Source organism: Homo sapiens, chromosome 3 (assembly GCF_000001405.40).
Source record: "Homo sapiens chromosome 3, GRCh38.p14 Primary Assembly".
Classification (NCBI taxonomy): Eukaryota; Metazoa; Chordata; class Mammalia; order Primates; family Hominidae; genus Homo; species Homo sapiens.
In genome coordinates, this window is record NC_000003.12 from 194448399 (window position 1) to 194475636 (window position 27238).

At 36.7% G+C, this 27238-nt stretch overlaps 1 protein-coding gene across 22 annotated transcripts in view, besides 1 other annotated feature; it reads right to left on the reverse strand.

The window, feature by feature from the left end:
• ATP13A3 (ATPase 13A3) overlaps positions 1-27238 on the reverse strand; it is a 91658-nt gene that overhangs the window by 45722 nt on the left and 18698 nt on the right. For 15 of the 22 annotated variants that reach the window (NR_164667.1, NR_164666.1, XM_047448912.1 and 12 more), the window contains 10 exons: positions 13742-13838; positions 12260-12433; positions 11391-11573; positions 11073-11143; positions 8696-8776; positions 7495-7564; positions 5860-5994; positions 5308-5380; positions 1747-1878; positions 59-238 (listed from right to left, as the gene is read on the reverse strand). Coding sequence is in view for 20 of the 22 variants with exons in the window: in XM_047448912.1 (XP_047304868.1) it covers positions 59-238; positions 1747-1878; positions 5308-5380; positions 5860-5994; positions 7495-7564; positions 8696-8776; positions 11073-11143; positions 11391-11573; positions 12260-12433; positions 13742-13792 (1150 nt within the window). In the remaining 2 variants the exon portion in view is untranslated. Of the gene's footprint in view, positions 1-58; positions 239-1746; positions 1879-5307; positions 5381-5859; positions 5995-7494; positions 7565-8695; positions 8777-11072; positions 11144-11390; positions 11574-12259; positions 12434-13741; positions 13839-19485; positions 22926-27238 lie in introns of those variants that run through there. The other 7 variants (XM_047448910.1, XM_047448916.1, NM_001374836.1 and 4 more) reach the window with 3 other exon arrangements.
• Positions 1100-2299: an enhancer, noted in NCBI's record as "CDK7 strongly-dependent group 2 enhancer chr3:194170227-194171426 (GRCh37/hg19 assembly coordinates)". NCBI's record gives its function as "activates an origin of replication core promoter dependent on BRD2, BRD4, P300/CBP, MED14 and CDK7 cofactors, with strong dependence on CDK7, by STARR-seq in HCT116 cells {active_cell/tissue: HCT116}" and the evidence as "EXISTENCE:reporter gene assay evidence [ECO:0000049][PMID:35650434]".

The following is a 27238-nucleotide window of genomic DNA, read 5'->3' on the forward strand; positions in this document are numbered from 1 at the left end:
TAGTAGGTATCAAATATGCTGAAACATGCAAAAAGAGATTAATTAAGATGTTTCCTACCTGTTCTAACAACTATGGCTTTGACGAGTTCTCCAGTGTAGAAACGAGTCTGAATAACAGTTGTCCCACAAAACAAAGTATGTCGTTTATGTGTTTCTGGATTATATAATTCATCTCCTATTCCTTTCACATCCACTGAAGGATTTGGCAAATTAGTCTTTGTCACTGGAACACTTTCTCCTTTAAAAAACAACAACAACAACAAAAACAGTTTACAAATTATTAAACGAAAGCACAGGAATCAGTATCGAACACCAAAAAATATTAAATTGTTAAATATTTTAAATGCTACCATACTGTTTACAATAATCACTGAGAGTTGTATATGTGGACAACATGGCTTAATTTTTTGTCTACCAATTTCCTCACATAGAAGTATCAAATATTATCTCCCACAATAATTCCAGAAAGTGATTTGTGGCTCAAAGGTAATATTTGTTTATATTTAGAAACAGTTGCATTGTTCAGTTTCAAATAATTTCAAAAAAGATTAAGTAGTTGCTATAGTCCCTGCACCTCTAAGAACTAATGGTAACAGTGGAAAGCACTGTACAGAAGAGATGTGAGGGCCTACCCCGATCCACCCCTACACACACACACACACACACACACACACACACACACACACACACACAGAACAGAAAAGACAGCTGGGCAAAAAAGAGATGTGAAAATGAGTAATGTGGTGGTTCTCTCAAACAACCACAAACAGCCAAATTCTTTTTAAAATTAATTCTCTGCAGCATTCACATTTCTTGCTTCAAAGAAGGCATGTGTGTCAGATATGTATTTGTTTGTGTGTTTTAAGATACGAGATATGTGTTTGTGTGTTTTAAGACACGACTCTTAACAGTTTCAAAATGTATTACATATAAATCATTTTCTAGCCAGATCAACTAGGACAATTAAAAAAAAAATTCACACGATTAAAATAAGATATTGGACAGGCACAGTGGCTCACGCCTGTAATTCCAACACTTTGGGAGGCCAAGGTGGATGGATCACCTGAGGACAGGAGTTCACGACCAGCCTGGCCAACGTGGTGAAGCCGTCTCTACTAAGAATGCAAAAATTAGCCATGCATGGTGGCACACACCTGTAGTCCCAGCTACTCGGGAGGCTGAGGCATAAGAGCTGCTTGAACCTGGGAGCGGAGGCTGCAGTGAGCCAAGATCGCACCACTGCTCTCCATCCTGGGTGACAGAACAAGGCTCTGTCTCAAAACAAACAAACAAAAAAAAAACAAAAAAAAAATCAAGCTCTACCTCAAGATTGTGAATTTCCAAAGGGAAGTCATTTTAAAGCCTGTATCTCCTCAGTTCAAGAAAAATATAAAATCTTTCTTTATTCCCACTTTTTACACATCAAATGGGGAACCAAATACTGTATGCCACATTTTCTGTGGGAAAAGGCCGCCTTTCCACTTCCCTAACCTTAAACCATTTCCTAAGGTCCAAAGAGTAGCCAGAGTGAGGTCAAGAGATGTGACCAACACTATAGCACAGTATCTAGTATTACAGCTGAGTATAATGCAGAATTCGGTCTACTCAGAATTTTAAATCTCCAATATCCAACATATTCATGAGTAAAGGTACAAATGACATAGCTAATTTTGAAAAGGCTTACTCACTAACTTAGTCATGATATATCATGAACAACTCATGTTGATATTTACTCATTTAGCTTACCTGTTAACATGCTTTCGTTTACAATGCAGGTACCATTAATAAGCACAGCATCACAAGGCATTATTGTCCCATTTAATGGAATGACCATGACATCTCCTGGCACAAGGTCGGTAGAAAAGATTTCTTCTATTTCTGAAATTAAAGAAAGAAAGAAAAATCTGAAAAAGATATTCTTTACCTTGGAAAAATACAGCAAATGCTATTCAGAAGTCATCTGATCTCAATAAGAAGTTTATAATGGGGTAAAATAGAAAAATCCAACAAATGGCAAGTTTTAACAAATAAGATTATTAGGCTAACAAAGCACGGTGTGTCAGCTAGTTAGTCTCCTGCTAGGACACCAGCTGTGCACCGGTGATGCCAAGTACCCTCTGACGAAGCAGGTTAAGTGTGCTTCAACACTCATGACAACCGTCCATGATAAATGGTGACTATTAGCCTAAGGAAGAGACACAATGAGTCCACAAAGGAGATGCCTGTGAAACAGGTCAAACAAACTCCGATTTCTATAATCCCTTGGAAACAGAAGGAAGCACTAGAAAACTTAGCATCTTTTCTTTTCAACAGCTTATCTATAATATTCCTTTTCTCACTGCCACTATTTATAACCTTCAAGTCTCATTGCCTCAATATTCCTAAATTACTCTTTTTAGATATTATTTTAAATATGAGTAAATTCATTAAATAAACACTGTAATATTTTATCTAGCTCATTATTTCCTTACAAATTTTAGTGAAACACTTTTAAAAAAAGATCTTCCCTCTGGTACAAGTTGGTGTTTGAAAAAAAGAAAAATGAAAATGAAAAGATCTTCCGAAGGGTGAAAGGCTTTTCTTTAGGGTCACCTTATATGTAGGTATTCTCTCTCTTTTCCTCTCATTCTCTAACACCCTCCCTCTCCCTGTCCAGGTTTAATACTGTGCTCAGAAGACAGTCACACTAGTTTATAAATGGAGATGGATGAGAAGAAACTTATTGTTTGTGATGTTAGCCTGTAAGACAAACACTCTTTCTTTCCTTTTTTTAAAAAAGGAAGTAATTTACTAAATTATGAGGGAACAACTTTTAAAGAATGACATTTAGTACATAGTAGATATTATCGATCTTCGTTTTAAAAATAAGATCCCTTCTTTTAAAAATTTGGATTTCTTTAAAAAGAAAATAAATCCATTCCTCAGATGGGAAGAAAAAAGTAAAAATTTGACTTTTCTTAAAGCTTTTAAATACCACTTGAAGTTCTACTCCTTTTAGGCGTACCAGAAAACAAGGTATCAATGACATGTAAGACTATACAAAGTGGGTAAGGAAGATTCAAGTTGAATGGTATGTCTGCCCTGGCATCCCCATTATATTCAGCAACAGCAGAACAAGAAGAGGAGAGGCATCAATAAGCTACACATCTTAGACTTCAGCTAAGGGAGGCAGATCTTCCTAGCTAGAGTAGCAAGTGGCCAGGAAGCACAGGGAAGGAAGCAATCTCTTGGGTGTAGTCTGAGTCAAGAAAATGGAGACTGATTTGGTGTTCTGAGTAAATCAAAGCGGCTTCTGCCTCCAAGGCCCATGATGCTGTGCTGCCTCCTTTACCTCTTCAACATCTTGCCAGACAAGTTACACGTCCAAAATATTACCATTCTTGCAAGCCTGCTTCTCTTCCAGTTTCCTATTTAACTAAACAGCACCAACATCCATCCACCTAGCCAGACACTGCTCCATGGCCTCATATCCAATGAGTCAAATCCTGTTCAATGGTCACATTTAAGTATCTTTTGAACTCATTTCTTTTCATCTCCGCAATTGCTACCTTGATTCGGGGGGGCATGTCTTCAGTATTACTCTCCTCTAAACCAGTCTGAATGTGGACGCCAGAATGATTTTTTTCCAAAGGGCAAGTATTTTATCACTCCTCTGCTTAAAACCCTTCAATGGTGGCTATGCATGGTGGCTCATGCCAGTAATCCCAGCACTCTGGGAGGCCAAGGCGGGCAGATCACTTGAGGCCAGGAGTACCAAACCAGCCTGGCCAACAAGGTTGACACTGTTTCTACTAAAAACACAAAAATTAGCTGGGTGTGATGGTGTGTACGCCTGTAATCCCAGCACTCTGGAAGGCCAAGGCGGGTGGATCACTTCAGACCCAGAGTTAGAGACCAGCCTGGCCAACATGGTAACACCCTGTTTCTACTAAAAATACAAAAAACTGGCTGGGCGTGGTGGCACATGCCTCTAATCCCGGCTACTCAGGAGGCTGAGGCACAAGAATTCCTTGAACCTGGGAGGCGGAGGTTGCAGTGAGCCAAGATTGCCACTGCACTCCAGCCTGGGAAGGAGACTCTATCGAAAAAATAAAATAAAATAAAATAAATTAATAATAATAGCCTTCAATGGCTTTCCACTGTCTTTTGGACTGAGCCCAAATCCCTAACATGCTTCAGAGAGCTATCCATCATTTATAGTTGCTGTATTTGTCATACTAAATTTCTTCTTTCAGTTCTTATAATGTCCACACAATCTCTAATTTCTAGGCCTTTGGGTATTTAGAACCCTCTTCTCTCCTTCTCTCAGCCTCCCCTTATCAACTTCTCACCTACCTCTTATTTGGCTAATTCAAATAGTCATCACTTACAAGCACTTAATCAAAGAAGTCATCCCTGATACCTACAGTAAATGAGCTCCCCTAATACATAAGTTGGCTGACTTCTCCTTATCATAGCATTTGTCACACTGTATTGTTACTGTTACTACTGTTATCTCTACACCGAATCCCCAGAGCCTAGCATAGTGCCTGCTACATAGAAGAAAAATACAATTTTATATAAATAAATGAATTTGATACAAACTCAGGAACTGAAATGTATACTTTTAGTTCTTAAAAAAATGAATGTATGTGCGAGGCAGAGTGGCTCAAGCCTGTAATCTCAAGACTGTGGGAGACTGAGGCAGGAGGATCTCTTGAGCCCAGGAATTCAAGACCAGCATGGGCAACACAGTGAGACCTCGCCTCTTCAAAAAAAGAGAAAAAATTAGCCAGGAATGGTGGCACAAGCCTGTAGTCCCACCTACTTGGGAGGCTGAGACAGGAGGGTAAGTTGAGCCACTGCACTCAGGCCTGTGCAACAGTGAGACCACATCGACTTTAAAAAAAAAAAAAAAAAAAAAAAGGCCGGGTGCACAGTGCAGTGGCTCAAACCTGTAATCCCAACACTTTGGGAGGCCCAGGTGGGCAGATCACTTCAGCCCAGAAGTCTGAGACCAGACTGGGCAACATGGCAAAACCCTGTCTCTAAAAAAAAAAAAAATAGAAAAATTAGCTGGGCATGGTGGCATGCACCTGTAGTCCCAGCTACTCGGGAGCCTAAAGTGGGAGGATTACTTGAGTCTGGGAGGTCAAGGCTGCAGTAAGCTGAGATTGTGCCTTTGCACTCCAGCCTAAGTGACAGAGACACTGACTCAATCAATCAATCAATCAAAGAATGTATATGTATTATACTTTGGGCTTACTTCACACATTATGCCTAACAGGTATCTTTTTTGATTTATTCTTCCAACATTCAATTACTTACCTTCATTTACTCTACAAACTGAAACTCTTACGGTACTATGAGTTGCCACCATGTCATGCAACATAACATATTGCTGAAAGAGGAAAAAGAAGTTAGAAACTAGCCAATATGAACCCACTCCTCAGGAAAAAAGCCAGAGTGCTAAAAAAATAAGTTAATTCAATAAATGCATATCACTCCATCTTTATAAAATGTCGAGTCAGAAATTCAGAGTATTCATTGTTTTAGTTCAAGACAAAACAAGAAGCACTTTAACAGGATAGCCCTGAAAACAGTACCTTCCAGTATTCCAGTCTGTGATCAGCAACTACAGATCCCTATGGTCTCTAGACAGTCAAGTGGTAGAGTCTTGACTCTACAAAGCACCTGCTATCCCCAACCTCCCAACCAGCAAAACAAACAAAAAGGGAGGGGAGAAGGAGCATATATTCATGCAACTAAAATAATGACTGCATTGAGAATTTACTTTGTGCTGAGTACTATTCTACACACATTAGATGTTACTACAAAATACAAATACAGTTGTGAAACCCATAATAAATTTGAACTTACCTTTCTAATGGAATATAGTGAGCTTACGATTGATACTATGGACATAACCACAATAGCTAGAGCATAGTAATAGTATTCATCAGTGCTCCACAGTATAACACTGAACAGCTGGAAAATGTAAAATGGGTTGAGAACCTAAAAAACAAGATTTTAAAGTCAAACTGAATGAGGTATTAATGACCATACAGATTGTCCATCTTTTCATTTGACAAACAAAAAGATACAAATATGTACAAGATAAGCTCCATAGTATTCTACGGCAAAATGTACTTCCCTAAAAAGTAGGGCAGGCTGGGCGCGGTGGCTCACGCCTGTAATCCCAGCACTTTGGGAGGCCAAGGCGGGCGGATCATGAGGTCAGGAGATCAAAACATCCTGGCTAACACGGTGAAACCCTGTCTCTACTAAAAAATACAAAAAAGTTAGCTGGGCATGGTGGCAGGCGCCTGTAGTCCCAGCTACTCAGGAGGCCGAAGCAGGAGAATGGCTTGAACCCGGGAGGCAGAGCTTGCAGTGAGCCGAGATCGCGCCACTGCAGCCTGGGAGACAGAGCGAGACTCCGTCTCAAAAAAAAAAAAAAAAGGTAGGGCAATATGCCATCATACTCTTATTATCATTAAAATACTAGAATTTGGCTAAATAAGGTTAATTTAAATTACTGGCATCCATTTAGATTCATACCATCCAAATATAGATTCAGCTAGAAAAGGCTAGTAAGTGTATGATTTTAGCCGTTCTGCAATCTGCTTTGGCAATAAAGTACATTTATTTCCAATTACTGTGCTCTGGGCTAATAGAATACAAAACTTTTAACGAAATTGAAAAATGTTTGCTTACTATAAACTCAAAACACAAATTTACTTATATATCAAAAGTTAACTGGAGGTCAAAGGAAAGACAAATATGAGTTAATGGGTTATGTTACTTTGCTTTCTCTAAGATAATAACTAAGTATTAAATCCTGAATGAAAAAGAGATAAAGGGAGACCTTGGCAATGAACTTCACCCACCCAAATGTCATGGTATTTTATCAATTTCATTAAACACCCCCCACCCAATGTCTTCAAATTGATGCTTCTGTACTTTTCAAAGCACTTTCATATATAGTCTCATTTTACCTCAAAACCAAATGAGATAATTGGAAAAAACTTATTCCAAGTTTATAGGTAAAGGAGCAACAGAGAGAATGTACTAAAGATCAGAGCTAGTTACTGATGGAACTACATTAAAATCAGGTCTTCCAATTCCTAATCACTACACTATGCTATGCTCATAAGCAACATTACATGGCCACTCCCAGGAACTGATGAAAAACAATCTTACTTCTACTCCTAAAAGTGTTCACCTAATACAACTAATTCTTGAGCTTTAGCCAAAAACCAGAATGAAGATTGGTGAGCCTAACTCTGCTAGACATTCAACAGGTAATAAAAGCAAAACTAGACAAAATTTTAAGAATACATGCCCCAGATTCTTTCTCTACCAGAGTAAATGTCTTCCGTCTTTACCTTCCAAGTAAAAATATGAAAAAGAGGTTAGGAAAAAGAAAACCAAGAATATTTTAATCACAACTCATTCCAAATTGACACATCCATTGATCATGACTGTTAAGTTATATACAATCAATAGTCTTACCTCTTTAATTAGAAGCTTAAAAACAGAAGGCACTTTTACAGCAATTTCATTTACTCCATAAAGCAGTTTTCTATAACAGGAAAATACATTCATAGTATTACATTATATCATAATAGTATAATTTACGAAAGGCATTGTATTAGGTAAGGCTTAAACCACAGACTGTTCTTATTCATGTCTCCAAACACCTGTCTTCTATAATTCAAACTCTCTACCTACAGAATTTAAAACAAAGAAGTCAATAGTAGATACCTATACTGGTAGCACTTAACTTCATTTTGTCTCACATCTTTATGTGTGACAAGTATCTTTCCCACTAGTCTATAATACCATGTGAGCAAAAGGTTCTCTTTTGCATCCTTGAACACACTAGATCTTAACAATTTTGAATTACAATTATTTTTTGCAAGAAGCCAAATAAATTTGAGGGATCTTATTTTTTTTTTAATATTGCACTAACAGTGTTTAGTTCAAAACATTGTACATTCGACTTTAAAAGAAAATGCTTTTAAAGTTTAAATGTTTCCACTTAATTCCTTATGTTACAATAGTATTTTCTATATGATAGAGTAATTCTAGACTTTTATGAAATGTAAGTCTAAATGAGTGAATTTTATGTTCTACCCCTTTGAAAGAACATGTTACAGAACTATAAGAAAATTTCTTATTGAATTTCAAAGTGGCATTTATCTTTAACATACGCAATACACTGGTGTATTTTTATGATTTAACAAGGAATAACACAATGAAGGAGATTATGTCTCCCAATTTACAATCTTTCATTACGGTGAATTTGAACTCATGCTTGTATTTCAGAAAATCTAAGGTGCTATCAATTGTAAGGCATACCATTATTATATGATCAAGAAAGATAAAAATGCTATCAAGAACGACACTTCACCAACTCTATGACACATCCCAATCTCAGAGATGTTAAAAGGTGGAAAAACGTGCACCTGGGAACTGATGAAATATGGTATAATTTCAGGGATACCAACTTCAAAATATCAGCTTGCACATTTTTATAATTCTTAAACTAAGACAGTCTTACCCAAATAAAACATCAATAAATTCTCAACTACTATGTCTGTAATATTTAAGTATCTGTTAATATGTACAACTATATGGTAAAGGGTTGATTATGTATACTACTGCTTTTAGGAATTTTGAGAAGATCTAACTTTAGTTGGATAAAAATTACCTGTAGGCATGCATCCCCTTTGTCAGTCCTGCACTATGCTTTTCATAAATTGACGTACAAGAAACACCTTCATCCAGTCCCCTAAATAAATCCAAAGTTTTTACTTTAAACAAAGTTTAAAATATCCAAATTTCTTAACGCCTCATTTTTCTATATGCCTGATTTTATAAAGGTGTGACTTCCTTACAAATCCTTAGAAACCCTTAACAAAAATTGAGATAACAAATGAGAATTTTTAAATCTCAAATTCTTAAGATAAACAATGACAAATCTAAGTCTCAAACCCAACTTCGAAGCTATTCAATATGTTTATTGCAGGATAGATGAGATGGCTCTAAATACTCAAATTTATATAATAATATCATTATCCTTAAGACTGTGCCAAAGCTGTAATAGCTAAAATTAAACTTTAAAATTTTAAGATAAAGTATAACTTGAGAATTCTAAACCAAAGATGAAAACATTTTACTTTTTAGCTACATAGTTTCTCCTTTTCAATTTTAGAGTCAAATTAAGAATTTCTATTCATTTTCTTCCATCTCCATAAAAGCATCAAGCCAAACCCTTCCCTAAATGCATACCTGGTTTGAAGTGCAGAATTTATGAGTCACAGACAATGCCTAAAATCTGTAATAATTCTAAGTGGGCTTCAACTAACACATCTACTTTTTCCCAAAATATCTTAATTATGCTTTTTTTTTTTTTTTTTTTGAGATGGAGTTTTGCTCTGTCGCCAGGCTGGAGTGCAGTGGCACAATCTCGGCTCACTGCAACCTCCGCCTCCTGGGTTCAAGCCATTCTCCTGCCTCAGCCTCCTGAGTAGTTAGGAGTACAGGCACACACCACCATGCCTAGCTAATTTTTGTAATTTTAGTAGAGAAGGGGTTTCACCACGTTGGCCAGAATGGTCTCAAGCTCTTGACCTCAGGTGATCCGCCCACCTTGGCCTCCCAAAGTGCTGGGATTACAGGCATGAGCCACCACCCCCCGCCTTAATTATGCTTATTTTAACTGAGATACCAGCTATAACTCTAAAGCAAAGAAAGTCTTACATATACTTAATTCCAATCCTTTTCCACACTTTCCACATAGGAAAGCTAAGCTTCATAATTCACTTCAATCAATGGAGTAAGTTTAAATTTTTAAGTTTCTATGGCTGGCAAAAGACACACAGTAAATATGTTTGACATTTCTTCCCACTGAATTTGATGACTTCTCCAGAAGGCAGCAGGGGCCAGTGCCAAGTCAAAAAAAAAAAAAAATTTTTTTTTTAAACAAAATGACAGCCCATTGGCAATTTTCTTTGTTTTTATGAGACGCAGTTTCGCTCTTTGGCCCAGGCTGGAACGGAGTGGCACAGTATCAGCTCACTGCAACCTCCGGCCCCCTGGGTTTGAGCGATTCTCCTGCCTCAACCTCCTGAGTATTTGGGATTATAGCCATCCATCACCAGGCTAATTTTTTTTGTATTTTTAGTAGGGACGGGGTTTCACCGTGTTGGCCAGGCTGGTCTTGAACTCCTCACCTCAGGTGATCCGCCCGCCTTGGCCTCTTAAAATGCTAGAATTACAGGCATGAGACACCATGCCCGGCCTGATTTTCTTTAAGGCAATAGTTCTTAATCAGGAATGGTTTTTAAAACTAGGCATGTAAAAATGCCCATGCCCATTCCAGAATGTTCCAATTCATTAGTGTATCTGAGTAAAAAATCCAGGTATGAATATTTTATTTTTTACTTCCAATAGAAACCTACAGGTATGAATATTTTAAATGTTCATAACATGATTTTCTTTTTACCGCTAAAATTAAGAATTCCTTTGGCACTCTAAAGCAACGATATTAATGAGTATTTATAATAATCATTTTAAGAGCAATAAAAACAGAATCTTAATGTGTACTTATATAACTTAAATCCTCGATTAAAAATAAAGGAATTACTACAGCTTGCCCCATTCTTTATCTACATAGTAAAATTAAATTTCTCTTTGCCTATTACTCTACTCCTCAAGTACCACAGGCTTTAAGTGTCAGTAAACCAACAGGTAATGATTCAGATACTCTAAGTTGAGACACAGGCTATGAGGTATACTCAAAATCACTTTGAGGTGAAACAGGTAAGAACTCAGACTCAGTAGACTTTGGCATCATACTGACTCTAAGTTTCATGTAAACTCTGCCATGGTGCAAGCTGCGGTGGGACTTATTTTAAAATGGCTAATGAGCCTTCAAACAGCAACAGGGAGTTGTTAATTAATACGTGAATAGAAATTATAAAATAAAACCTCAGCAATTTTATGAATACTAGAATGGACTCTTTTCTATCTAGAACGTTTTCAGGATATTCAAAATACAATCCAAACAAAAGGAAGATACTTACTTTAAGAAATCAAAATTGTGAATGGTATCATTCCAGAAATATTTTACACTATGGTGGGTGAAATAACGAATCTGTGGAACACAAATAAACGTTACACCAAAAAGCATATAATCACTTGTGATATGTAATCTGTTACTTCTATTAACAGCTATATATAGGATTATATATAGCATTATATATAGTAATATGTAATATTTTATATGCAGGTAAATTTATCTCAAGCATTAACTGCAAACACAAAATTATAGAATATACATGATAGCATAAAATGTAACAATTCTGATTTTTAAAGAAACTTTGACATTAAGATCACAATACCTGTTGTGATTCAGTCTGTGAATATTTACTGATCCTGTGCCTATTTTCTTCAGTGGGATTCTCAATTAAACAAACTGCATGGCCATTTGAAAGCTTATTAGACATAGATTTTGGACTTGAAACTGGGTAAGTTTCCAAAGAAAGAACGCGAATTTTTGCACAAAACCACATTTTGAATTCATCCTTAAAGAGAGAAAGGGATAACGGTAAGGAGTCAATTTTATAGAAAACTGCCTATATTTTCATTTATTTTCCATTCTTTACAAGACATTATTTCCTCATCTCTAATTGAGGAAACATCACGCCTACTCACTAAATATTAAACCATTTCATGAGGATGCTTAAATTCAAACATAAGGTGCTTTCCATTGCTCATGGTTTTTATGACATATTTTACCGATAAGCACATCAATACTTCATAAAATATCATGAGTAATTCCTTAATTAGTCTCTATATTTGGACTAAATATTAAAACCTCTTATAAAATGCTTCCAATTAGGGTTTTTAAAAAAGAAAAAAGGCTGAAATGCATCAGCATCACACAGCAGACAGGCAGCTGGCCTAGTGACCGAGATCTGGACTACAGTCCTAATGGACCAGCACCGTAACAGACAAGTAGCTAATCTCTCAGGGCAACAAGAGAGATGAAAGGAAGGGGGTGAATCTGATCATCTTTAAGATTCCTTTAAACTCTAATCATTATAATAATAGTCAATTCAAACACAAATCCTCTAGAAATACTAGAATTAGCATTCCTCATTTTATCCAGGCAGCGATGTTCCCTTCATCTATTATTTCGAATAAAGTATACACAAAGACATTGTTTTACTCCTTAAATAATCAGCTACAAGTAAACACATAAACTTACAGTAGTCCTCAGCAGCACTACTTCACAGTCTTTAATTGCAGCTCTGACACAGGTCGCTTTCACCCGCCACTCAGGCATCCAATAGAGGAGGAGGAGGAGAAACCCACCAGAGCAAATCACTCCTAAAGAAACTATGGCAAGCTTCCAGCGACTCAAATTGTAACCATAAATCTCCTGCATGGACACAGCGATCACATGATTAATTATCAAATGATAAAATGATATGGCAGAGAAACACATTCCAAAGTTCTTTGTTTTCCAGATAGGTATTTATTGTCTTGTCACATAAACTGTAAATATTTTCCAATCCATAATTTACCTTTAAATTTTGTTTCTGACCAGTTTACTGTCAGTTATATTTTAAGTAAATTTGTTGGTATTTACACTTTGATTTTATATTTAATTTATGCCTAATACGTTCTTTCCCACTGATATAGTAAATTCATATTTAGTACACTTCCCTAGAATGTTTGCAATTTCATTGTTACATATCTTTTTAATTCTTCTTGAATTTATCTTGTTATGAGGTGGGCTTTTTTTTTAAATAAACATTTTATTTTGAAATAAATTTTAGATTTATAGAAAAGTTGCAAAAATATTATGAAGTTCCTGTACATCCTTTGTGCAGTTTCCCCTAATGTTTTAACATTTCCTGGTACATTTGTTAAGAATTAATAGATTAACACTGCTGTATTACTATTAACTAAACTCAGTTTTAGGATTTCACTAGTTTTCCACTAACATGTTATTTCTGTTGCACAATATAATCGAGAGTATCACAGTACATTTGGACGAATAGATTTTAATCTACTATTTCCCAAATGATTTACTAATTGTCCCAATACCACTGCGACTAATCAATTTGATCCACTGACAAACTGTCTCATAGTTTCAGGTGAGCCCCCCAACAAGCGTTGCCAGATTTAATAAATGAAAATGCAGGTGGCCCACTTAAATTTAAATTTCAAATAATCTTTTTGTCTGTCCCATGCAACATTTGGACATATTTATACTAAAAATTTCTCCCTTCATTATGTGACTTTTACATTTAACAGGGCATCTTATACTTCACCTGACATCTTTCTGGCTCCCCCCAACAAAAAGTAGAGAAGTTGAAGTTGGCTTTTTTTATTAAGCTGATTTTAGAAAATTTTTGTAAGTCAAAATTAGAAATCTTTATTTGGGATTGTATTTAAATCTTTTATTTAGGATTATATTAGCCAATGTTACCTCTTAAATCACCAAATGCAAAAACATACTTCTTCTCAGTTTTAACAGACCACAGGTAAAAAAAGAATTATACTAAAAGCAACTAATAGACATATTACACAATCCCAATTCAAAAGCACAGGATGAAGAAAGAAGCCCATTGAGTTAGCTGCTGCCGCCACTGTTGTTAATTGCATTTTTCTAGTCCCTAAAATAATAAATTGCAGAGATAAAGTCTTCACACATCACCAGTAAATTAGAACAGCTGGTTACCATTTCATCTTCTTGACCCTGATTGATGGTCTTCCTTTCTTCCCTGTCCATACCTACAGTGGATTAAAGGTCCAGTGCTTCAAACAATGGAAGATCACTGAGGGAAGAAAGGGAACAGACGTTAGGGAACTATCTTCTATCTTAGTAGACGATACAACTGCATTCTATCAACTGTCTATTATACAAGGGGTCCCCAACCCCTGGGTCACGGACCTGTTAGGAACAGGGCCACACAGTAGGAGGTGAGTGACAGGCAAGCAAGCATTACTGCCCCAGCTCTACCTCCCATCAGATCAACAGAGGCATTAGATTCTCATAGGAGCACAAACCCTACTGTGAACTGCGCGTGCAAGGGATCTAGGGTGCGTGCTCCTTATGAGAATCTAATGCCTGATGATCTGAGACTGAACAGTTTCATCCCGAAACCATCCCTCCCCACCCGTAACTGTCTTCCATGAAACCAGTCCCTGGTGCCAAAAAGGTTGGGGACCACTGTTTTATACCATCGAAGTGTTCTTTTAATATTTAATAAGATTTTGTTTAAATTTGAATTCTTCCAAAGTAGTGATGTATTCATCACTTGCTCATGGGATGTATCAAACTTTAGATGACCCTTAAGTAGTTTCTAAAGTGCTAGCTGGTTCTAATGACATTTTCAATGGGATACCAGTGCTTGAATCTGTATTACTTAACTACCACAAAACATGGCATATTTCATTAATTCATTTAGACTAGCAACTACTGTGATACAGGACAATTTATATTGAGAGGAACTACTAACAGAGTCTTCCTTTTTCATTCCACAGATTCAGAAGTAGTGTAGTTTAACCATCTTGAGCTAAAAGTACTTCACACAACTCAAAATTATTCACTGTAGCATAGTAAAGAGCTATGGCACTAGCAATGAAACCAAGCCAAAAACTTCTCAGAGATTATTAATCATCCAATAAATATTTACTAAGCACCAATTACATAAATGGCAATCCCTGGCCAAAAGTCAATCGCTATGGCAGGTTTACTCCTACTGGAGAGCACTCAGCTGACTCCATCATTCGATTCCAAGTCCACTGGGCAACCTTCTGATTATTCCTGACTACCTACAAAACTTGTCCAGGGAAAAAATTCATTGAGCCCACTGACATATTTTTCCTTTTTTTTTTTTTTTGTATTTCAAATATTAAACATTCAGCTACACATTAAAGAAATTTGCAAGATGTAAAACGATGCCAGTTTTCTAACTTTTTGTTTTTTTAGAAAATATCTTCCAAAAATGTTACTTAAAATATAATTTTATTTTTGTAATAAATATTTGAAATATCAGTTTTAATTCATATATGGTATCAATAGCTATAGTCCACATAAATAAAAGCTCTTTAGCATCCACAAAAATTTTCAAGAAGGTAAATGGGTTTCAGCCCCCCGAGTGTGATAACCACTGCTTTACATGAGGCTGATCTCACAGTAGGACTATTACTGCCTTCGTTTCAGATCCCATACCTCTACTCATCTACCCAGTGCACAGCAGGCTTGACACACGCTAGGCACTCAAAAATGCTTACTGAATAAATGACCTGATTTAAAAAATGTGCACTAAGTAACAATACCTATTTATTTTAAGATGATATAAATTAACAGCCAAGTAAAAACCAAATGCAGAATTTTAAAGTAACCCCATACATAAAGATTGTTGAAACTTCTTGGTGTTCTATCATAAAGCAACCAATAAGAGGGGTCTATCTGCCCAGCGTGGTGGCTCACGCCTGTAATCCCAGCGCTCTGGGAGGCCAAGGCAGGCAGATCACCTGAGGTCAGGAGTTCAAGACCAGCCTGGCCAACATGGTGAAAAACCCCATCTTTACAAAAATACAAAAATTAGCCGGGCATGATGGCGGGTGCCTGTAATCCCAGCTACTCAGGAGGCTGAGGTGAGAGAATTGCTTGAACCCAGGAGGCGGAGGTTGTAGTAAGCTGAGATCACCTCACTGCACTCCAGCCTGGGCGACAGAGAAAGACTCCATCTCAAAAAAGAGAAGGGTCTGTCTGTACAGTTACTTACGTCGTTTTAATAATTTCACTCCTAACTACGACATTCTTATCAAATATGTGAATACATAAACATTGGTGCAAAAATAAATAACCAGTAAGATACTGAACTCAGTGCCATTGTGGAAAAGGAGAAACCTTACACACTATCGGGTCCGACTTCCTCTAAACAAGCCGTATGACCACACAAAACCTTTTGGGCATGGTAACAAGATCTTCTCCACCTAGGGCAGTGTAATGGTCCTAGAGCATATTACCAGAGTTATTCCACCATAATAATGTTCCATAAAATCAAAGCACTTTTGGGTGGCAGTTATTTTCAAGGGCTGTGCCTGCTACTATAGACTATGGTGAGAATAAGCCCAACCTCTTTCCCTGTAGAGAAGATCGGCTATCATCACCTGAATGTGTAAAGTAATAACACCGTACAGGCCTACTATCAAAGGATAAACCAAAGACCTTTTGCTCTGACACTGTCCCTGCTAAAGAATACTAGTCTGAGGTTCTTAACCTTTAGCCTGTGATTCTTCCTTAAGGGCTCAAAAATGAACCTTGTAGTCATCACTCAGTAGTCACCGGGGTCTGTTTTGGTTTGGGTTTGTTAGTTTTCTTTAAATAGAGACAGGGTCTCACTATGTTGCCCAGGCTGGTTTAGAACTCCTGGGCTCAGGCAATCCTCCCACCTCAGCCTCCCAAAATGCTGAGACTGCAGGAATGAGCCACCACATCCCATGGGGTCATTTTTGATAACCAATTCTGATCTCCAGTTCCAATCACCACCACCTAAAATATGCTTCCTCAGGGAAGGATTACTTCACATTCTCATATGGAGACTTCTGCTTCCAACCAAGTTGAGACAAAAGGGATCATATTTGCCCTTCTGCCCTAAAGCAACAACAAAATACATAATGGTTTTCAAGGAACTGGACATCAGGCAATGAAGAAAACTGATAATTGAGAGATTAAAAAAACAAACTAGGTAAGCCCTACAACTGTCCCAGTTTACTGATGGAAAACACTTTACAGGTCACAAAAAAAGGGAGGACAGGGAACTCAGAGGGAGCCCAGCAGTTTCCCTGAGTTTGGGAGATGAAACTGGAAGTCTGGGGAAGCACCAAAGCAATGAGGTTTGCTGGTCAGATCACCAGAAGAGAGTCTGACCCACTAAGAACACGACTGACCTGCAAGATGGACTCCCTCAAGCCTTCAGCTGCGTACCGCTCAGCACTTGTGTGTGAAGAAACTACCGAAGGCCAGGGAAAGAACCACCCAAAATGATTAAGGGAATTAAACCACCAGGGCTCACAAAAGGCTGGGAATCGTACCCATTTTTACCAACCACAATGGAAAACCCCATTAGCCACAAGGAATCAGGAAGGGTATTCGGGTTTTTGCTTTAGTTAGCGGGATAAAATTTGCCTCAAACAAAAACTGCTCTGGTACTGCCTAACAAAGCTTAAACATAAGACCTGAAATAATACAACTGTTTTCAAGTAAATAAATCTAGGCGCAGGCTCACGTTTGTAATCCCAGCTCTTTGGGAGGCTGGTGCGGGCAGATCACCTGAGGCCAAAAGTTCAAGACCAGCCTGGCCAACATGGTGAAACCCCATCTCTACTAAAAACACACACACACACACACACACAAAAATTAGCCAGGGGTGGTGGTGCATGCCTGTAGTCCCAGCTACTCAGGAGGGTGAGGCAGGAGAATCGCTTGAATCCCAGAGGCGGAAGCTACAGTGAGCCAAGATCACGCCACTGCACTCCAGCCTAGGCAACACAGTGAGGCTCCACCTCAAAAAAAAAAAAATTATAAACTTTTAAAACACCAATGGGTCAAAGTCATCAAAGTGGAAAATACAAAGTATTCTGAACTGAATAAAAATGATATATTGAAATGTGTAACATGCCACTAAAACAGTACTTAGAAAAAAATTTATAGCACTAAATTCCAGTATCTGAGAGAAGAAAGGTCATGACCTCAGCTTCCACCTTAAGAAAAGCAGAGAAAGAATAGCAAATTACTCCCAGAGTAACCGCTATAGGGAAATAAAATTCAGAGAAAAAAATCAATGAAATAAAAAAACAGAAAGAGGAAACGTCACTGAAACCAAAAAGGCTGGTTCTTTGAAATCCATAAAATTGTTAACTGCTACCTCGACTCATCAAAATGAAAGAAAACGGGGAGGAGAGATGCAAATTACCAGTATCAGTAATAAGCAGATATACCACAAAAGATTCTGCAAGTATCAGAAGACTAATCAAGGAACTTAATAAGCAACTTGACACTGATACACCAACTTTTTTGTAGGTTTAAAGTTACTTCAAAATTAAAATTTTTTAAATTAAAAAACCCATCTTTATTGACCAGGGGATGGCCATGAGTTTGATAACTGCTAAAGCAAAGTTAAAAGCTGAGTGAATGGATACATGAGAGTCCATTATACTAGTCTTTCTACTTTTTAATGTGTAGAAATTGTTGATAATAGAAAAGGTTTTCAGAAAATTAAAAATTAAACAGCTGGGTGCAGTGGTGCATGCCTATAGTCTCAGCTACTCAGGAGGCTGAAATGAGAGAACCACTTGAGCCCAAAAGTTTGAGTCCAGCCTGGGCAGAACAGTGAGACTCCATCACTAAAAAAATAAAAATAAAAAATTTAAAAATTAATTCCCACCCATCTGAAGCTTTTAGACAGAAGAAAACTTTCAGAAGACATTTATTTCTGGCACAGAGGGCCACGAATATTAAGGACTCTGCCTCTGGGGCACTGACTCAAAAGTCCACTGACTCAATCTACTATGTGCCAGGTATTATCCATAAACTCAATTCACCAAACTTCTGTTGGTTTTTGAATCTTACTCTTCTTCACCCTTGTCTTTCATCAATTTCCCACAAACCTACAGACTTCCCACTCCTGTAAATCCAAATTTTTCAATGTAGAATGTATGTATAAATAGATGAATAAGCATGTTTTATAACTTTAGAAAGGAACTGCCGTTAAAATCCAATGTTTTCATTAAGCCCATGTACTTTTAACTATTTAAAACTTTTTCTCCATCTATAGAAGGAGTTCATTCACCTTAGTTCAGCATAATAATATTTTTCACTTCATCTTCTACAGTTAGACCACATAAAGAACTCTTCCAATTAATTATTTTTAAATGAGCTTATTATAGGCAGTTCACTGCCTATAGCAATCTATTTTCATACTTTTCAAAATACAATTTTTTAACCATATTACACCATTACTCTTTTTATGAGTGTAATTTCTCTAAAACGTAGTTGTTTTTTAAAGCAAATTAAGTCTTAGCAAATTTTACCAAAGTGCTAAAAATAAACAATTCAAATAAAAAGTTGCTCTAAAAACCTCCAATTAATTATTCACTTTGAATATATTATACACCTCAAAGGAAATTACCCAAGAATTCACTTTTCACATAAACTTTTAGTCAACTCCAATGCGACAACTCCAACAGCTCTTACATTTAGAACATATGTATGTTAAAAACATATTTAAATTTTAAATGTACATAAGTAAAAGCCCTGATTATTTCAATGACTGAGAGGATAAAAAACCACATAAACATATTTAAAATACACTGCTTATCAAGATAAAAATACATATTAAATACAATTCTACTATATATCTAATCAGACATTTGAAGCATTAATACCAAATTGATAAACCCATTACTTACAGAAATATAACTTTTCTGGACTGCTGGAGCACACGTTTTTTAACCAAGTCAAATTCGATATCAGAGAAAACAAATTGAAGAAATTTTTCTTACCAGTAGCACTATATCATCATTCTTCCCAATTCCTGATATTTGCACAGCTTTCAAAAGCTGGCTTTTAATAATAAAAATAAAACTAAGCATAAAAATTTGGAATTTTATGCCAAATATTTCTGTTTCGGTTCTGTCTGAACTGCTTTCAAAATGATTAAGGTATTAAAATTTAGAATTTTGTAATTCACCAATTTTTAGTAAGTTTTCAGAAGATGTGCCCTTCTGCCATCTGTCACTCGTAGAGCTCCTATTATTTGAATAAATCCTAGCTAGTTAGCTCACCGAAGTTCCAATTCCACAGTGCATGCCTGAGTCTTGATGTTATCTAAATAGCAAGGAGCTTATAGGCTATTGTGCTTAACCAAACCCTTCCTTGAATTTATAATAAACTTGATTTGCTGTGTGAGTTTAAAAAAAAAAAAAAAAAAACAGTATGGGACAAAGTGAAGCTACTGGGAAAAAAAATCTCACTACATTAAATATGCCAATTTTTGAAAGTTTACTTATTTTTTCACATTATGTAATTACTACAAACAATTAAAGTATACTATTTATCCTATACCATGCTAAAAGTTAGTCAGATTTCATTCCTTAAAACAAGATCAGTTGTTTTCAGACACAGAAATCTCCAAACCTCAAAGACATCTTTGCTTCAAACCTGAGTTTCTCAAGAGTTGTAACAATATTATAATAGTGAGTGTGGAGAGTGTTGAATTTTTTTAAGGATAGTCTATGTACGTGCCTACAATTCCAAAGTAGGTAATTTCACGAAGTGATTTAAATAACGACCTGTAATCAAGTAAAAGTTCAGGCAAAGCAATTTTGAATAATACATTTTTAATTTAATTTTTTCCTTCAGTCAGTATTTGCCATCTTCAGCAGTACTGAAGTAAAAAACTAAAATTAAAAATGCATTATTCACCGAGGCGGGTGGAATGCCTGAGGTCAGGAGTTTGAGACCAGCGTGGTCAGCATGGTGAAACCCCATCTCTACTAAAAATACAAAAATGAGCCAGGCAAGGTAGCATGCGCCTGTAATCCTGGCTACTTAGGAGGCTGAGGCAGGAGAATCGTTTGAACCTGGAGGTGGAGGTTGCAGTAAGCCAAGACTGCGCCACTGCACTCCAGCCAGCATGACAGAGCAAGACTCCATCACACACACACACCAAAAAAAAAAAAGCGCATCATTCAAAATTCACAGCTGGGTGCAGTGGCTCACGCCTATAATCCCAGCACTTTGAGAGGCCAAGGCAGGAGGATCACATGAGGCCAGGAGTTTGAGACCAGTCCAGCCAACATAGTGAAACCCCATCTCTACTAAAAATACAAAAATTAGGCAGGTGTGGTGGTGCATATCTGTAATCCTAGTTACTAGGGAGAGGCTGAGGCAGGAGAATTGCTTGAACCCAGGAGGCGGAGGGTTGCAATGAGCAGAGATCACACCACTGCACTCCGGCCTGGGAACAGAGTGAGACTCTGTCTCAAAAAAGAAAAAAAAACTCACAAAAATAAATAAGTATAAAAGAAATTCCAGTAACTGAATTTCTCAATGGTGTTTAAGTTTATAACATATATAATTCTGGAGTTTTAAAAATTAAAACTTCACTGAGATTTCTGTGACACCTTGTATTGTTGAATGAGAGAAGGAATTATCCCGCTTTGTTTTGCAGTCCTAGATTTTTTTTCTGAGAATTACACATACCTACCAATGTTAAATAAATATTTGATAAACCCATCTTTAAAGACCACACAAGCCAAGAGTGCTTTAATGATCTTGAAATATAAACAGCACAGCTAGCATTCTAAATATTATTTTATTCTCAAACTTGTAAAATTTACAGTAACTGAGAAGATAACCTTGTCCAGTTCAAAATCAGTTCTACTTTTTGCTGTTGAAATAAAATATGCCCCAATACGTTTAAAGCCTTAACTTTAGTCATTGAACAATTTCAATTTTAATACCTATACAAATATATACAAAAAGAATTTTTAAAAAATCAGAATCATCCAACTGTAATAACCAAATTGTGACAATTCTTTATGAGGGCAAAACTTAAAACTTCAAGTCAGCTCCTAAAAATAAGAATGACATAATATAATTTAATGAATACATGGAAATTTTACAAGGATACCAGCTAAATTTTAACAAAGCTCTACTCAATACCCACTTTATCACTTCCCATCTTGGACTTTCTCTTATAATATGCTTTTGTTTCTGTGTTTAGGCTTAAGGAAGACCATTGTATCCAATATACACCAAACCAAGACTGTATTTACATTTGTAAAGTGGAGTCTTTGTATAATTATACTTTTTTGTATGTTACAAAACAATGTGATAGCTATAACAAAATAAGCTATAATTAGGAAAGATAACATAATTACCTGTATTAGGATCAATATGAAGAAGAGTTTAGCCTACACTATACCATTAATTCTTGCATAGGTACTTTATCGCTTTTATCATATACTCTATTTAAAAAACAAAATCAACCCTTTTATTCAGAGAAATCCTACAGAGTTTTGTCTAATTGTATAGTATTTGGCAAAAAGGGGGACATTACCTTTGGACTGACAAATGATACGTGCATTTTACTCTCTCTTTATAAAAAAAAATGTGCAAAATATCATTTATATGCAATGTAATAAAACAGTTTGCATTCTCAAAATGTCCACTTACGTCACTGAGAGATTTTCTATTTCAATTATTCAAGCTACTATGTTCTTAAAACTTTCATACTTTCCCCTAAATTGTTAAAAAGTATGTAACTTTTTAAAATTCCACATTCAAGGTTAAGAATTTTAAGACTCTTATGATTGCTAGATAGATTTCAAAACATTACTACTATCTACGATGAAAAATGCTGCGGCAGGCAACAGGAAACAGTGATAAGTCCCAGACTGAATATTCAGAACTGGCAGAAGTAAAATGGCTTAGAGAGAAAACTGGCACCTACTCCTGAGATAATCAAAAAGGCGAATACATCAATAAATTGGTGACAATGGCTACCTCTGGGCTGGGTGGGAGTGAGGAAGAGACACTAGTGCCTTTTGAATGCCTTCCCGAAGGAAGACTGAATAGTTGATTGAATATATGCCTAAACTTCTAATTCTACAATGCATGGCCAACCCTGAGTTCTAAACTTGTAGGAACCTTTGAAGCACATCATGGTGCTCTATCAGACCATTCTCTTTGCCTGCATCTTACCCCAGGCAAGAGAAAGTTGTCATTCTGAAAGCTCCTTTAACAAGTATACTTCTATTAATTAGATTTATTTCTATCTCCTCTACATTTTGGCCCAGCTGAAAAAGCATGTGCCTATAATACAGCGTTAAGTAGCAGCAAATTCTAAAAAAAAAAAAAAAAAAAAAAAGAAAAGAAAAGAAAAAGAAAATTTGAGACAGCATCTTGCTCTGTCTCCCAGGCTGGAATGCAGTGGCACAATCTTAGCTCACTGCAACCTCTGCCTTCCGGGTTCAAGCAATTCTCTTGCCTCGGCCTCCTGAGTAGCTGGGACCACAGGTGTGTACCATCACGCCCAGCAAATTTGTTGTGCTTTTATAGAGATGGGGTTTCACTATATTGCCCAGGATGGTCTCAAACTCCTGGACTCAAGCAATCTGCCCACCTCAGCCTCCCAAAGTGCTGGGATTACAGGCGTGAGCTACCACGCCCAGCCCTAAATTATTTTTATCAAACTAATTCATCTAAGTATTAAGTGTGCATCTTATGCCAGGTTCTTTACTACATTACAACAGTAGGATTTACAACTTCATCCCCAAAACAAACAAACATAAATGAAAACAGCACAAGAGTCACTTTAGATTCAGTGGCTGGCTTTGTCGAGCAACAGTGTAGTGGCCTTCAGGTGGCTGGAGGTGACTAGCAATTTGCAGTATCTTTGACTTCACTTAACAGAACAAAATGCAAATCTCTGTGAAGACCCTGACCTTCAGCCTGGAGGAGGAGCCCAGTGACACCACTGAGAATGTAAAGGCCAAGATTCAGAGTAAAAAAGTATGCCCCCTGACCAGAAGAGGCTCACTTCTGCAGGCAACCAGCTGATTGCTGCAGGCAACCAACACTCTTTCTGATTACAACATCCAGAGTCAACCCTGCACCTCGACGCCATCTGAGGAATGGCTGTCAGTTCTTCAGTCTCCTTTTCGCAGTGCCCAATGACGACATTAACTCTGCACCGTAGCCATTTGCCCCAATTTAAATTTAGAAATGACCAGTTTCAGTAGTAGCTGAACCTGTTCAAAATGTTAATAAAAGTTTTGTTGCACAGTAGCCAAAAAAAAAACACAGTCAACCTTAACTTTTCCTTAAATAACAATTAATTCAACATGAACTATGATGCAAGTTCCTTCACGCTGGTCTCAACTTCTTCTCCACTAAAATAAGGCAGATAGAATAATTTCTACAATAAGTATCAACCAAAAAGGTTTTGAGCTACACAAGCATAGCCTTTGTATATGGCCTGCTGGTACACTCTTTCACCACTAGGGGATGTTCCAACATTAGTAAGGAGAAAAGGCTGAGTTACAACAAGACTTAAGAAATAGAACTGCTGCAGTTATCTGAAGTGATCAAGAATGATTAAAGATGAGAAATTATCTCAAAGAACTAAAAACAGAACTACTATTCAACCCAGCAATCCCATTACTAGGTATATATCCAAAGGAAAATAAATCGTTCTACAAAAAAGACACATGCACTCATATGTTCATCACAGCACTATTCACAATAGCAAAGACATGGAATCAACCTAGGCATCCACCAACAGTGGATTGCATAAAGAAAATGTGGCACACATACACTATGGAATACTATGCAGCCATAAAAAATAATAAAATTATGTCTTTTGCAGTAACACGGATGCAGCTGGAGGCCATTATCTAAGCATTCGAATTAATGCAGAAACAGAAAACCAAATACTATATGTTCTCACTTGTAAGTGGGATCTAAACATTGGATATACATAGACATAAAGATGGGGAACAATGGACACTGGCAATGACTAGATGAAGGAAGGGGTGGGGCAAGGGTACCTATTGGGTACTCTGCTTACTACCTGGTTGATGGGATTAATCATACCCCAAATCTTAGCATCACACAATATGATCCATGTAACAAACCTGCACAGGTATTCCCTGAATCTAAAATAAAAGTTGAAATTTCAATGAGAAATTATATATTTTAGTACCAGTGGAGATCGTGACATGGAAAGCAGAATTGCCTTTCTAAAAGATGCCCTGCATTCATGTGTCTCAACAAAAAATTAATGTACGCAATAAAACACAAAACAAATGATAATGGGGCGGAGAGAGACAGCTATATTAATACTCCCTGTACATTCTAGTCTGAAAGTAGAATTTAGGAATCTTGCAAAGTTGTAAAGCAAGGAAGAGAACAATAACAAAGAGCAAATGAACCTATTACAGAACAAGACGATGTATTTAAAGTATAAAATTATATGGTAAGACATTATTTGCCCATTAAATTGGTGAAAAAAAAAAAACCTGACAAGGAGCAACCTTATATATTGGTCTTAGGAGTGAATCTGTCCTACCTTTTTAAAAAACCAATTGACAAGATACTTAAATTTTGTCTATGGCCATACCACCTTGAACGTGCCAATCTCATCTGATCTCAGAAGATATTTAAATTTAAAACCTATACACTTTGATCCAACAATCCCAGTTTTTAAAATCTATGACAAATACATATATAGGTACATAGGAACAAAACATGTATATTGCAGCACTGTTTGCAGCAGGGGGAAAAAACCTAGAACCCACCTGAACGTCCATCAATAGAAGAATAGATGAATAATTTATGGAATTAAGGAGAATGAGTTAAATCTATGTGTAGAAACCAAGATAGAGCTATGTAATATATAAAAACAGGAAAAAAGGAATATGTCTAATACACTATTTTTATAGCAACCAAATAACTCTGTGGATATGTGTTTTTAAAAGACCAAACAGAAAGGTGTAAGATACACACCAAACTGTTAACATCATCTTGTATTGCAAGGCAGAGGCTACCATTAACGGTTTCTTCAAATTCCTCTGCATCTTTAGATTTATGAAGTAGAGTATAAAAGTTTTGTGCTTTCTTTCCTTTGGGGGGTGACAGTGGGTATTTAAAAGCAAAAACACCTAGTTAGAACAAATAAAAGAGTTTTTCGGGTTTTTTTAAGAGATGGGGTCTCACTCTGTCACCCAGGCTGGAAGACAGTGGCACCGTCACAGCTGACCACAACCTCAACTCCTCAGCTCAAGGGATGCTCCCTTGAGCAGGAAGGGGCTGCAGGCCTGAGCCACCACACCTAACTAATTCCCCCAATTCCCCCATAAAGATGAGGTCTCTTCATCTTGCCAGGCTGGTCTCAAACACCTGGGCTCAAGGGATCCTCCCACCTTGGCCTTCCAAGCAGCTGGAAATAGGAGTATGTTAAAATAAGCAGAAAAGAAATCGTGTGGCATGGGCACTTAATATAATAGAAATTGACAAATCAAGAGTTTCAATAACAGCTTGTGTAAACAAACCAAATGATAAATAAGCCTAATTCCCCCAAACTAAAAATTATACTTTTTAGTTCAGAGTTAAGGTAAAGTTTTTGTTGAGTAATATGTAAATTAATGTCTTCCATTATAATGCAAATTAACAACTATTCATTTGAAACTGTAATGCTATTAATAAAAATCTCAAATAACTGCTGACATTTCAGTCATCAAATTAAAGATGGTCTCTGAAATTTAAACATTCATGAATTCTCATTTTACCATAGCTAAAATCAAGACACTGCTTAGATACAACCTTACAGCTGCTGCCGGCAAGTGGCTGCTGTGATGCGGTGCTCACTGCACACTCATGCTTCACACTGGCCACACCGCTCAGACTATGGTCATGCCAGCTAAGTAACGTGCACTGTTGCTAAGACTATGTTGAGTTTAAATTACTAATTAAAGTATTCAAAAAGATTACACTGTAGTTGCATAATACAACAAAAAGTAACGTTCTGCATAGAAAGATACTGAAATAGCGCAGCACGGTGGAGAGGAAAAGCTAGGATGAGAAAAAGGGGATGCTAGGGAATAATATAGGAATAGGGAAGAGTAGAGAAGAAAAAAAGAAGAGTGGAAGAAAATTTTCCAGAGGTTATACCTCCAAGTCTTCAGTGTGTTAAAAACATATAAACCTCAGAAATGTTTGTTTTTTCTTACTGATAGCAAACCTAAAAATAATTTTTTTCATTACTTCTGTATGGTTCACTTCAGAATTACTGTGCAATTTGAAACAAAGCAAAATTAGTTTTCCTCATGATCTACATACACTACAGAATGATTCATATTTCACTCTTCCAGATTCTGATTTGAAAAATCCAACCACAAAGAAGCACAAAATCACTAGGAAGCTATTCTGTACAAAAAGTAAAATCCTGCAAATGTATAAATGTAACTCATAGGTACTTGGGTCAACTTTAAGTTACATGAATTTGGGTTTTTCTACTTGAGTCCTTTGTCTAATCTGAAACCTACCCACGCTAACCCAGCATAGACAATGCAAAGGCCGTAACATTTACATTCAACAAATACTTCAAAAATACAGTAATATAAGTTGCTATTGAAGAAGTTAATCACCTTATTCACA